The following is a 14,771-nucleotide window of genomic DNA, read 5'->3' as shown; positions in this document are numbered from 1 at the left end:
TTAGGTAAGACATTCTCTGTGCCTTTGTTTCCTTGTCTATAAGTTGAAGAGGTTGGGAGATCATAGTATCCAAAGTCTCTTCCAAAAAAGATGTGGCTCTGTGCATCTAAGCTCCAACTGACAAGACACAGAGCTATATAAGAAGGTAAAGAAAAGGCCAGCAATATGCACAATTTTTTTTTTTAGACGGAGTTTCGCTCTTGTTGCCCAGGCTGGAGTACAATGGTGCGATCTCGGCTCACTGTAACCTCTGCCTCCTGGGTTCAAGCAGTTCTCCTGCCTTAGTCTCCAGAGTCGTTGGCCAGGCTGGTCTCCAACTCCTGACCTCAGGTGATCCACCTGCCTCGGCCTCCCAAAGTGCTGGGATTACAGGCGCGAGCCATCGCACCCAGCCAATAGGCACAATTTAAGAAATAATTAAGCTGGGTGTGGTGGCTCATACCTGTAAACCCAGCACTTTGGGAGGCCGAGGTGAAAGGATCACTTCAGCCCAGGAGTTCAAGACCAGCCTGGGCAACGTAGCAAGACCTCATCTGTACTTGAAAAAAAAAAAAAAAGGCCAGGCGTGGTGGCTCACACCTGTAATCCCAGCACTTTGGGAGGCCAAGGCGGGTGGATCACGAGGTCAAGAGATCAAGACCATCCTGGCCAACCCAGTGAAACCCTGTCTCTACTAAAAATACAAAAATTAGCTGGGCGTGGTGGCATGCGCTTGTAGTCCCAGCTACTCAGGAGGCTGAGGCAGGAGAATTGCTTGAACCTGGGAGGTGGAGGTTACAGTGAGCCAAAATCACACCACTGCACTCCAGCCTGGCAATAGAGTGAGACTCTGTCTCAAAAAAAAGGAAAAAAAAAAGAAAAAAAGCTGGGTGTAATGGAGCTTGCCTGTAGTCCCAACTTCTCAGGAGGCTGAAGTGGGAGGATCACTTGAGCCAGGGAGGTCGAGGCTGCAGTGAGCCATGATTGGGCCACTTCACTCCAGCCTGGGTGACAGAGTGAGACCTTGTCAAAAGAAAAAAAAAAAAGGAATAATTGAAGATAAAATTTCTGAAGCAATTAAAAAAAGAGCCCCAACTTAATGTAGAGTTTAAGAAATTTCAAGTTGCCTCCACAGAACCACCCTCAAAAAAGACTCCCTCCCCACACCCCAGTCAAGCATATGTAAAAGAATCATCTATCATCAATGAAACAATAAATGTGTAATTATAATTGAAGACAATAAATCTACATTATCAAAATAATTTAAAAATTTCGTAAAGATACAATAGGTTTGAATAATACAATGAATAAAATGGAACCAATACAAAATCTATAACTGTACTTCCTTTTAAGTGATTTCAAAATATTCTAATGAATCTTTTGTAAGAACTACACAATAGACATAAAGTGTAAATTCTATAAATGATTTTATAGAATTCCAAATGATAATTAATACAGCATTGTAAAGTACCTAACCATAAGGATAAAACATTATTTTAAAACAGATTTTCTTCAAGGAGGAAATACAGAATATAATGGAGCTTTATTGAGATGTGGTTAATATACAATAAACAGCACATGTTTAAAGTATACAATTGGTGAGTTTTGACATATGTGTACATCTGTGAAACAATCATCACAGTCCAGCCAATGAATACACCCATCACACCAAAAGGATCATGTGCCACTTGGTAATCTCTCCCTCCTGCACTTCCCTGCCTTATGCCCATCCACATGATATACTTCCTGTTGTTATAGATTATTTTGCATTTTCTAGACTTTTACATAAATGGAGTTATACAATATGTACTCTTTTTTGCCTGCCCTCTTGTACTTCATGTAATTAGTTTGAGATTCATCCATGTTATAGCATGTATCAATATTTCATTTATTTTATTGTTCCTTAGAATGAGTAGTATTCCATTGTACAAATTTACCACAATTTGTTTATCCATTAACCTATTGATGCACTTTTGGGTTATTTCTAGTCTGAGGCTCTTACAAATAAAGTTGGTATGAACAATTGTGCAAAAGAAATTTTATGGGCATATGCTTTCATTTCTTCTAGGTAAATACCTAGGAATAGAATGACTGTGTTAGAAATAAATTTTTGATGCCACAAAAGAAATAGCACTCGAACATAAATTTAATTTTCTCAGCAAGGCAATTTTACTTCTATAGAAGGGCGCACCTCGTGGATGGAGCAATGGCGAGAGCACATCTGAACAAGGAAGGGGAAGGGGTTCTTATTCCTGACACAGGTAGCCCCTACTGCTGTGTTGTTCCCCTATTGGCTAGGGTGGGACGACACAGTCTAAGCCAATTCCAATTGGCTATTTTAAAGAGAGCAGGGGTATGAGTCAGAGTGGTGGGGTGCGTTGTTTAGCGGGGAAGACGGTTACAGAACAGGTGACTCAGGATGACTCAGGTCAGAGCAGCTGACCAGGGATGACTCAGGACAGAGCAGGTGACCAGAGGTGACTCAGGATGGAGCAGGTGATAGAGGCTAGGAGGAGTTTGTTTACTGAAACTAGGGGCAAGGAGAGAAGAGAACGAGGAAGTTAAGCTTTAAAATAAAGAACAGGGAGCTGAACTTACTGATACCAGAACTCATTGTACTTAACAATTTACAGGCTAAAACCTTTGAAGAGGAATTTATTATATCCTACAACTGGGTTATATGGTAAGTGTATGTTTAAATTTTAAGAAACTGCCAAACTGTTTTTCAAAGTGGTTAACCATTTTTCATTCCCACCAGCTATATATAAGAGTTACAGTTGCTCCACATCCTTGACAACACTTGGCATGGACAGTCTTCAAAATTTAAGATGTTCCAATTGGGGTGTGGAAGAATCTCATCATGATTTTTAATTTGTATTTATCTAATGGCTAATGATTTTTTGAACATCTCTTCATTTTCTTATTTGCCGTCTGTGTATCTTCTTTGATGAAGTCTTATTTTGCCCATTTTTGTGTTGGGTTGTTAATGTTTTTTTTTTCTTTTTTTTTTTTTTGAGACAGAGTCTTGCTCTGTCGCTCAGGCTGGAGAGCAGTAGCACAATCTCGGCTCACTGCAAGCTCCGCCTCCCAGGTTCATGCCATTCTCCTGCCTCAGCCTCCTGAGTAGCTGGGACTACAGGCACCCACCACCATGCCCGGCTAATTTTTTTGTATTTTTTTAGTAAAGACAGGGTTTCACCGTGTTGGCCGGGATGGTCTCGATCTCCTGACCTCATGATCTGCCCATCTTGGCCTCCCAAAGTGCTGGCATTACAGACCTGAGCCACTGTGCCCGGCAGGTTGTTAATTTTTTAAACTTTTATTAGTTAGTTTTGAAAATATATATATTCTTTGCACATTAAAGGACACAGTTCTTTATCAGATATGTGATTTACAAATATTTTTCCAACACTTGTCTCTTGTCTTTTCATTCTCTTAACAGTGTTTTTCAAAGAGCAGAAGTTCTTCATTTGGATAAAGTAAAAAAAAATTATAGATGGATTGTGATTTTGGTATTGTTTCTAAGAAACCATTGACCAAACCAGGGTCACAAAGACTTTCTCCTGTGTTTTCTTCTAGAACATTTATACTTTTAGATTTTACATTTAGGTTTGTGATCCAGTTTGAATTAATTTTTTTGTGTACTGTGTGGTATGGATCAAAGTTCATTTTCTTTTTTTCTTTTTTTTTGGGGGGGGATATGGCTATCCAATTGTTCCAGTAAAATTTGTTGAAAAAAATAGAATTGCCTTTAAAGTTTATGAAAACATCAGTTGTTTACATATATGTGGGTTTATTTCTGGGATCCACCATCTTTCCATTTATCTATTTGTCTGTCTTAATGCCAATTCCATACTGTCTCGATTACTGTAGTTTTATAGTGCCTTGGAATCATGTAATGAAAGTTCTTTAATTTTGTTCTTCTTTTGTAAAAGTTGTTTTGGCTATTCTAGGTACTTTGTATTTCCATTTGAATTTAATAATCAATTTGTCAATTTTTACAAAAAGCCTATTGAGATTTTAATTGGGATTGCATTGAATATATAAATCAATTTGGGGACAGTTGACATCTTAATGTTGAGTCTTCCAATCCATGAACAAAGTGTGTTTCTCCATTTAGGTCTTCTTTAATTTCTTTTGGCAATATTTTGTAGTTTTCAGTCATCATTAAGTATTTAATTTTTTATGCAATCATATGTGTGGCTTTTAAATTTTTTTCAGTTTCAAATTGTTCTTCAATAGTGTATGGAAATACAATTGAATTTTGTATTTTGACCTTGTATCCTATAACCTTGTTAAACCTACTTCTAATCACTTGTCACTTCTAACATCTACCTGTTTTGCAAATTCCTTTGAATTTTCCGTAATGATCATGTTGTCTTCAAATAATAACAATTTTACTTCTTCCTTTTCAGTCTGGATGCCCTTTACTTCTTTTTCTTGTCTGATTGCACTGGTTGTAATCTCCAGTGCCATATTGAATAGCAGTGGTGAAAATAAACATCCTTATCTGTTCCTGATGTTAGGAAGAAAGCATTTAGGTTTTTGCTAGTAGGTATAATGGTAACTGTAATTTTTTTAGATGCCCTTTATCAAGTTCAGGATGTTCTAATAGTAATTTGCTTAGAGTTTTTATCAGAAATTGTTGTTGAGTTTTGCTAAATGAATTTTCTTCATCTATTGAGAAGATCATATGTTTTTTCTTTTTGGCTTGTTAATATAGGAAATTACATTGATTGGTTTTTGGTTTTTGTTTGTTTGTTTTTAAGAGACAGCTTCTCACTGTCACCCAAGCTGGAGTGCAGTAGTGAAATCATGGCTTACTGCACTTTTGACCTCCCTGGCTCAAGTGATCCTCCCACTTCAGCCTCCCAAGTACCTAGGACTATAGGCAAGTGCCAGCACAGCTGGCTTTTTTTTATTTTATTTTATTTTTTGGTCAAGACAGGGGCTCATTATGTTGCCCAGGCTGTTCTTGAACTCTTGGGCTGAAGTGATCCCCCTGTCTTGGCCTCCCAAAGTGCTAGAATTACAGGCATGAGCCACTGCACCTGGCCTTGATTGGCTTCTGGATTTCAAACCAGCCTTGCATTCTTAGAATAAACCCCACTTTGGTCATGATGCATTATCCTTTTTTTTTTTTTTTTTTTTTTTTTTTGAGATGGAGTCTCACTCTGTGACCCAGGCTGGAGTGCTGTGGCACCATCTTGGCTCACTGCAACCTCCACCTTGTGGGTTCAAGCAATTCTTCTGCCTCAGCCTCCCGAGTAGCTGGGACTACAAGCGTGAGCCACCATGTCCGGCTAATTTTTTTTGTATTTTTGGTAAAGATGGGGTGTCACCACATTGGCCAGGCTGGTTTTGAACTCCTGACCTCATGATCCATCCACCTCAGCCTCCAAAAGTGTTGGGATTACAGGCGTGAGCCACCCTTCCCAGCCACATTATCCTTTTTATATATTGTTGAATTAAATTTGCTAATATTTTGTTTAGAATTTTTGCATCTGTGCTCATGAGGAATATTGGTCTGTAGTTTGCTTTTCTTTGTCTGCTTTTTGGTATCAGGTTAATCCTTCATTTATGGAATTCATTGCAATATTCCCTACTTTTCAATTTTCTAAAAGAATTTCAGTAGAATTAGTCTTATTTTATTTTTGTGATTTTGTAGACTTCATCAGAGCAGCAAGCCATCTGGATATGGAGTCTTTTGTGACAAAGCCTTTAACTACAAATTAAATGTTTAAAATAAGTATAGGACTATTTAGGCTATTTCCGCTTGAGTGAGCTTTGGTATTTTGTTCCTTTCAAAGAATTTGCTCTAACTTGTTGAATTCGTTGGTGTAGAGTCATTCATAATATTCCATTATTATCTTTTAATATCTGTATAACTTGCAGTGATGTTGCATCCCACATTACTGATATTGTTAATTTGCATCTTCTATCTTTTTTTCCTAATCACCTTAGCTAGAGGTCTATTAATTTTATTGATTTATTTTTTCAAAGAAGCAGTTTTGGTTTCACAGACTTTTGCTGTTGTTTTTCTGATTTTTATTTCATTATTTTTGCTGTAATCTTTATTATTTTCTTTTTTCTGTGCATGTTGAGTTTAATCTTCTTTTTCTGGTGTCTTAACATGGAAGCTGAAGTCACTGATTTGAGACCTTTTTTTCTATTCTAACATAAGTGTTTTGTGTTGTAAAATTTTCCTTAAGTGCTGCTTCAAGGGCATCCCAGACATTTTGATATATTGGATTTTCATTTTCACTCCATTTAAAATACTCTCATTTCTCTTTCGATTTCTTCTTGGCCCACTGATTATTTAGAAGTCTGTTATTTAGTTCCCTAATATTTGGGGTCTACCCAGCAATTTTTCAGCAGTCATTGATTTCTAATTTATTTCCATCGTTGTCAGAGAACATACTATACGTGACTTAAATTCTTTTTAGCTTATTGACACTTGCTTTATGGCCCAAAATATGCTATATTTTAATAAATATTCCCATTGTCACTTGAAAAGAATTTACATTCTGTTGTTGTGGGGTGGAATGGTCAATAAATCTTAATCAAATGAGGTTAGTTGGTAGTGTTAATGATAAAATTCTATGACTGGAACAGTAGCTTCCAAAGTGGGTGTATGCATCCCTAAATGTATGAAAAATGATTTATTGAGGTACAGAAAGAAATTATTAAAATTAGGCCAGGTGTGGTGTCTTACATCTGTAATCCTGGCACTTTGGTTGGCCAAAGTGGGAAGATCACTGAGCCCAAGAGTTCAAGACCAGCCTGGACAACATAGTGAGACCCTATCTCTACAAAATATTTTAAAAATTTTAAAATAAGAATTAGCCGGGCATGGTGGCACATGCCTGTAGTCCCAGCTACTCAAGAGCCTGAGCCAGGAAGATCTCTTAAGTCCAGGAGGTCGAGGCAGCAGTGAGCTGCAATCATGCCACTATGCTCCAGCTTTGATGACACAGCAAGACTCTGTCTCAAAAAAAAAGAAATTATTGAAATTTTATATATATATAATTTAATGTATTATGTATATAATTTGCTAAAATTATATATAATTATTAAAATGAAAAGTATATTTATAGATAGTATCATATACTTTTTATTTTTTGTATATTGTTACAAATTACAGTGTATTTGCTACAGGATGTCATGAACATGATTAATATTTTTAAAATTCTAAGTGATAGACTCTATACAGTACTTTGTACTGAGATGAGGAGATACTATGCAATTTTTTTTATCCCACAGGCAGGTTGACCAGCATAGTCTTTCTCCTCTGGAGGAGCTCTTGAAATAATTTCCAGGTCTCAGGGGACCTCTGTATAAAAATTATTTTATCTAAGCCCATAGTACATTAGCATGATCAGTAAGTTGTAGATATAACAATCCAATAATAATTGCCAATGCTCTTTTGAGTAGAGAATGATATCTTTTCCTGAAGATCTGTTTATTTTGGCTTACTTATTTGCCTATCTTTTTATGTGGTTCCTCCTCCCAAAAAAAGACATTATGTCTACTTCAATTTTTACCTTATCCAAGTAGGTCCCAAACTCTTATCACAAATTTCTACTAAATGAGATTCTACTGTGGTTGCTATGTCTTTTTAACCATCTGTCCCTGAAATAAAATCAGATAGTTAAGATTAGCTTACCTTTCTTGAAATGAATCTCCCTAGTGGCTTTTCATAAAATTTTAAAACTCATATAGTAAAAATAATACATTTTTGTTATACAGGCTTAAGACAAAATGAAATTTTTCTAAAGGTAGAAGGAGTTGATTTAATTTATATAAAGGTTGTAAATTGATTTTAATTAATGTTATTTACAACATGAAAATTTATTGAAAATGTTAAAAGAAAGTTAGTAAAACTGCAAAGAAAACAATATGAATAAAAATGGCCTAAGACTGTTTTAAGACAGTTTAAAAGCGTTTCCTTACTGAGTGACATGATCAGGCTGCCTGATACGGTTTGGATATTTGTTCCCTCCAAATTTCATGTTGAAATATGATAAAGTTGGAGGTGGGGCCTAATGGGAGGAGTTTGGATCATGGGAGCAGATCCCTCATGAATGGTTTGAGGCTGTCCTGGTGGTAATGAATGAGTTCTTGCTCTGTTAGTTTATACGAGAATTAGTTGTTTAAGAAAACACTGCCCTCCACCTTCTCTCCCTTTTCCTCTCTCACTTTGTGACATTCTGGGCCCCCTTCACCTTCAGCCATGATTGGAAGCTTCCTGAAGGCCTAGCCAGGAGCAGATGTTGGCATCATGCTTCTTGTATAGCCTGCAGAACCGTGAGCAAAATAAACCTCTTTATAAATTACCCAGCCTCAGGTATTCCTTTATGGCAACACAAAATGGACTAACACACTCCCATGTAGGCCTAGCAATTACAAAATTATTATATACATGTATTACTTTCTTGATCTCTTTAATTGGTCTATATAAAAGTATTAAAAGTGTATTAAACACTTTTTTTAAACTAAAACTAAAGAATGGACTCTACCCCTTAATTGAAACTTGTGCTTGTGTATTTGCTTGTCAAATACACAATTTTCAACATAAATATGACAATTTCAAATGCTTCTTAAAGAAGAAAAACCAGCCTGAGCAATATAAGGCGATCCTGCCTCCGCAAAAAAAAAAGAAAGAAAAATAGCCAGGTGTGATGGCATGCATGTGTTGTCTGAGCTACTCATGAGACTGAGGTGGGAGGATGGCCTGAGGCCGGGAAGTTGAGGCTGCAGTGAGCTCTGATCATGCCACTGCACCAGCCTGGGCAACAGAATGAGACCTTGTCTCAAAAAACAAAAACAAGAAAAAGTTTATTTACAAGTTTAAGAAGTTAAAAACCAACAAGGCATGGTGGCTCACGCCTGTAATCCCAGCACTTTGGGATGCCGAGATGGGAGGATCACCTAAGGTCAGGAGTTCGAGACCAGCCTGACCAACATGGAGAAATCCAAGTCTCTACTAAAAATACAAAATTAGTCGTGCATGGTGGCGCATGACTGTAATCCCAGCTACTCGGGAGGCTGAGGCAGGAGAATTGCTTGAACCCGGGAGGCAGAGGTTGCCAAAAGCCAAAATTGAGCCATTGCACTCCAGCCTGGGCAACAAGAGCAAAACTCCATCTCAAAAAAAAGAAGTTAAAAACCACCGAGGTGTTCGTTGCTTTCCCGTGAATATCAGAAAACTATTTTTTCATAGAAATCCAGTTTGTCAAGAGATAGATGAGTAAATCTCATCTTCAGTACATGATCAGACTGTAGCTCTATTTAAGAAAGTTGACTATTTTTGTCACATCATCCAGACTTTTAAAATTTCTTCTTTGACAGGCTTTGACACCAGCACCTCTCTATGAAGAAAAGAGTGTGTTGTGAACGAAGTCAGAATTTCCTGTGTTCCCTTTGCCGCTCCTGGAGTTCACTGGTGAGTCCTGTCAGTATAGATGCCCACATATTTCTTCCAGATCAGACCTTTTCATTCCAGATACAACGACAGAACATTAAATGCACCCGGGGCCGGGCACTGTGGCTCACGCCTGTAATTCCAGCACTTTGGGAGGCCGAGGCGGGCGGATCACCTGAGGTCAGCAGTTCAGACCAGCCTGACCAAAATGGAGAAACCTGTCTCTATTAAAAATACAAAATTAGCTGGGCGTCGTGGTGCATGCCTGTAATCCCAGCTACTTGGGAGGCTGAGGCAGGACAATCACTTGAACCCGGTAGGCGGAGGTTGCAGTGGGCCGAGATCGCGCCATTGCGCTCCGGCCTGGGTGACAGAGCGAGACTCCGTCTCAAAAAAAAAAAAAAAAAAAAAAAAAATTTATCCGGGATTTTGCTTGTTTGGGACAGCTCTTTGCACCAGAAAAAAAAAAAGTCTTGAAAACCACCTTGTTTAAAAATCTTACAAATGTTATGATATTAATTAGCCAGGTGTGGTGGCCTGTGCCTGTAGTCCCAGCTACTTGAGAGGCTGAGGCAGGAGAATCGCTTGGACCTGGGAGGCTGAGGTTGCAGTGAACGAGATCGCACCACTGCACTCCAGCCTGGGCAACAGAGCGAGATTCCATCTCAAACAACAACCACTAATGTTATAATATGACATTTATTGGTAAAATCTGTTGATTCATCAACCTACATAGAGAACCATTTGTTTCCGTTTATGGCATGTATCATCAATACGTTGACTAATGGTATTGAGAGAGAAAACTTTTCATTTTCGCATGCTACATCTTGTCCTAGTATTTTATGTTTGTTTGTTTTTAGAGACAGCATCTCGTTATGTTGCCCAAACTGGACTCAATCCTGGGCTCGAGCTGGCCCTAGCATTTTATTTACTCTAATTTAGGTTCTCATTACTGTGTGCATTTTCCTTTTCTGGACATTAAATAACTGCTACTAAATAGCTTGCTTCCTGAGGCTATTCACTGACTACGACTTTTTTTTGTTTGTTTGTTTTTTAACAAAAGCTTTACTGTCTTTCAATGTTCCAGTAACCACCGAAAATAATCTGCCCTTTTACTTGTCAAATGTCTGTGCTTTGGAGTTAAGAGTCTTTGCAGTTTTGCCAGAGCCATTGCTGGATGTGTAAGTTGTTTACCACAGACAATGCACAAAGGAATGGAACAATTTGGATTACCAGAGTTCCTTGTTGTCTGGTGTAGTAAAATGCTTCAAAGGATTAAAATTCTTGACTGGGCATGGTGGCTCTCATCTGTAATCCCAGCACTTTGGGAGGCTAACATGGTAGGATTGGTTGAGGCTAGTAGTTTGAAAACACCTGGGCAACATAGCAAGATCTCTTCTCTACAACAACAAGAAAATAACAAGGCATGGTGGCACATGCCTGTAGTCCTAGCTACTCTGAAGGCTAAGGCAGGAGGATCATTTGAGCCCAGGAGTTTGAGGCTACAGTGAGCTATAATTACACCGCTGCACTCTAGCCTGGGCGACAGAGTGAGACCCTATCCCCAAAATAAATAAATAAATAAATAAATAAATAAATAAATAAATAAATAAATATCGGTTAAAACTCTTCATCAACCCCATCAGAAGAGTCCATGGATCTAGGCCTATAATATTTTCTTCTGTCTCATACCTTGTCTTCAAAAATCACTGGATCACTAATAAAATATAAAATGGTAGAGCACAATAACAGCCACACGGGAAAAATTATTTACAAAATAAATGAAATTTTCGCTATACCAATTTAGTTCTAACCTATACAATCCATGCTTTCAGTGACCATTGCTTATGAATAAGTGAAATGAATGGACGCATGCTGTAAGGCGTGGGAGGGAGGCACTGGGAAAACCATTATAAGGTACTTGTACTGTGAAGCAGTACACTATTACTTTAAAGTGGGCTTGCATTAGTTATACATGTATATTAAAAATTTTAGGGAAACCACTAAAAAGAAATATAATTGATATGAGAGAAGAGAAAATGGAATCTTAAAATGCACAATTAAAACCAGAGAAGGCAAAAAAACAAAAACAAAAACAAAAACAGAGAAGGCAGAAAAAGAGTGGAAGATAAAAAAAGAAACAGAACAAAAGCAATGAATAGAAAAGTTTAAAATACAGTAGGTATTAATCCAATGATATCAATATTCACTTTAAATGTGAATGGCCTAAGTACACCAATTAAAAAAGACTGTCAGAGTGGTTAAAAAAAACAAGTCCCCACAAGATGAAAAAATTAGAAAAAAAAAGGCCTAACTAAATTTTGTTTAAAAGAAACCCATTTTAAATATAAAGATGCAAATAGAATAAAAATAAAAACTTAAAGAATTATGCCATGCTAATACTAGTCAAAAGAAAACCGGAGTTCTACATTAATTTCAGACAAAGAATTTAGCACAAGGGAAATTCTCAGGGATACAGAGGAGCAGTACAAGATTTTAAAAATCTCCAAGAAAATATAACAATCCTTAATGTGTACATACCTAACAAGAGTGTCAAAATACATGCAGTGAAACTGATAGAACTGCAAGGAGAAATTGATGAATACACTATAATACTTAGAGACTTCAACACCCCTCTATTAGTAGTTGACAGATCCAGTAGGCATGAAATCAGTAATTATATAGTTGAACTAAACATAAACAGCACCATCAATCAACTGAATCTAATTGACATTTATAAAATACTTCATCCAACAGCAACAAAATACACATTCTTCCCAAGCTCACATGGAACATTCACCAAGAGAGACCACATTCTGGGTGATAAAACAAATCTTGACAATGGGATTAAACTAGAAATAATAACAGAAAGATAGCTCGAAAATCCAAAAATATTTGGCAATTAAACTACACATTTCTAAATAATCAGTAGGTCAAGGAAGAAGCCTCAAGAGAAGTGAAATTTTAAAATATTTTAACTCAATAAAAATGAAATTATGACTTATCAAAATTTGTCAGATGCAGTGAAAGCAGTGCTTAAAGGAAAATTTATACCATTAAATGCTTATATAGGAAAATAAAAAAGACCTAAAATTAATCACTTAAGTTTCTGTCTCAGGAAACTAGAAAAGGAGGTGCAAATTGGCCAGGCGTCATGGCTGATGCCTGTAATCCTAGCACTTTGGGAGGCTGAGGCTGGGGGATCACCTGAGGTCGGGAATTCGAGACCAGCCTGACCAACATGGAGGAACCCCGTCTCTACTAAAAAAAATACAAAATAGGCAGAGCGCGGTGGCTCACCACTGTAACCCCAGCACTTTGGGAGGCCGAGGCAGGAGGATGACAAGGTCAGGAGTTTGAGACCAGCCTGGCCCAGATGGTGAAACCCTGTCTCTACTAAAAATACAAAAAAATTAGCTGGGCACAGTGGTAGGCACCTGCAGTCCCAGCTACTCGGGAGGCTGAGACAGGAGAATCGCTTGAACCCTGGGAGGTGGAGGTTGCAGTAAACCGAGATCGTGCCACTGCACTCTAGCCTGGGCAACAGAGCAAGAATCCATCTCAAAAAAAAAAAATTAGCCAGGCTTGGTGGCACATGCCTGTAATCCCAGCTACTCGGGAGGCTGAGGCAGGAAAATCACTTGAACCTGGGAGGCAGAGGTTGCGGTGAGCTGAGATCGCACCATTGCACTACAGTCTGGGCAACAAGAGCAAAATGCCAAAAAAAAAAAAAAAAAAAAAAAGGAAGGAAGGGAGGGAGGAAGGAAGAAAAGGAGGAGTAAATTAAATTAAACATAAGCAGAAAAAGAGAAATTATAAAAATCAGGGCAGAAAACATCGAAATTGAAAACAGGAAATCAATAGAAAAAGAATCAATCAACCCAAAACTGTTTCTTTGCAAAGATCAGTGAAATTTATAAATCTTTACTCAAACTAATGAATAAAAATAGGAGACACAAATTACTAATATCAGAAATGAAAGAAGGCATATCACTATGAACATTAAAAGCGTAATAAAAGAATGTGATAAATAATTATATGCCCACAAATTTGATAATCTAGATGAAGTAGACCAGTTCCTTAAAAGACAATCTACCGAAACTCTCACAAGGAGAAATAGATGATATAAATAGGCCTGTATCTACTAAATAAATTGAATCAATAATTAATAACTTTCCAAGACAGAATGTACCAGGCTCAGATGGATTCACTGGTGAATTCTACCAAATATTTAAGAAGTAAATTATAACAATTCTCTATAGTCTCTTCCAGGAAATAGAAGCAGAGGGAATACATTCTAACATTCTTTGAGGACAGCATTACCCTAATACTAAAACCAAAGATATTACAAGAAAAAACAACTACAGACCAATATCTCTCATGAATATAGATACAAAAGTCCTCAACAAAATATTAACAAATAAAATTCAACAAATCTAAAAAGAATTATACACCATGACCAAGTGGGATTTATTTTAGGTATACAAGACTAATATGCAAAATCAATTAATATGACTACATTTGATCTTAGCCAAAAGGCTGAGAAGAGATGAATTAATGTAAGTTATTACACCAAGACACTAAAGAAGATAAATCATATGATCAAATACAGAAAGAGAATTTGACAAAATCCATCACCCATTCATCATAAAAACTCTCAGCAAACTAGGAGTAGAGGGGGACTTCCTCAGTTTGATAAAGAACATCTACAAAAACCCCTACAGCTAATGTCATAGGTACTGATGATGCTTTCTTCCTAAAATTAGGAGCTACACAAAAGAGTATACTTTCACCAGTCTTATTCAACATCATTCTGAGAGTCATGGCTAACACAATAAGACAAGACAAGGAAATAAAAGATATACAGATTGGCCAGTCGCGGTGGCTCACGCCTGTAATCCCAACACTTTGGGAGGCTGAGGTGGGTGGATTGCCTGAGCTCAGGAGTTCGAGACCAGCCTGGGCAACATGGTGAAACCCCGTCTCTACTGAAATACAAAAAAATTAGCCGGGCATGACGGTGTGTGCCTATAATCCCAGCTACTCGGGAGGCTGAGACAGGAGAATCACTTGAACCCAGGAGGCAGAGGTTGCAGTGAGCCGAGATCACCCCACTGCACTCCAGCCTGGGCAACAGAGTAAGACTCCGTCTCAAAAAAAAACGAAAGATATACAGATCAAGAAGGAAGAAATAAAACTGTCTTTGTTTACAGATGATGATTTTCTATGTAGAAAATCCCAAAGAATTGACAAAACAAACAAAAAAGGCAACTAATTCCTGGAGCTGATACGCACTTATAGCAAAGTTGTAGGATACAAGGTTAATATACAAAGTCAGTTGCTTTCCTCTATACCAGCAATGACCTAT

At 37.5% G+C, this 14,771-nt stretch overlaps 1 protein-coding gene across 1 annotated transcript in view, besides 1 other annotated feature; it reads left to right on the top strand.

The window, feature by feature from the left end:
* Positions 1–14,771, top strand: part of RNF103-CHMP3 (RNF103-CHMP3 readthrough) — a 217,693-nt gene that overhangs the window by 23,467 nt on the left and 179,455 nt on the right. The window contains exon 2 of the mRNA NM_001198954.1: positions 9,331–9,424. The gene's annotated coding sequence lies outside the window, so the exon portion shown is untranslated. The remainder of the gene's footprint in view (positions 1–9,330; positions 9,425–14,771) is intronic.
* Positions 1,774–2,973: an enhancer, noted in NCBI's record as "P300/CBP strongly-dependent group 1 enhancer chr2:86921806-86923005 (GRCh37/hg19 assembly coordinates)". NCBI's record gives its function as "activates an origin of replication core promoter dependent on BRD2, BRD4, P300/CBP, MED14 and CDK7 cofactors, with strong dependence on P300/CBP, by STARR-seq in HCT116 cells {active_cell/tissue: HCT116}" and the evidence as "EXISTENCE:reporter gene assay evidence [ECO:0000049][PMID:35650434]".

This window comes from Homo sapiens, chromosome 2 (assembly GCF_000001405.40).
Source record: "Homo sapiens chromosome 2, GRCh38.p14 Primary Assembly".
In the NCBI taxonomy this organism is placed as follows: Eukaryota; Metazoa; Chordata; class Mammalia; order Primates; family Hominidae; genus Homo; species Homo sapiens.
This window is presented reverse-complemented; position numbering and strand designations above follow the sequence as displayed.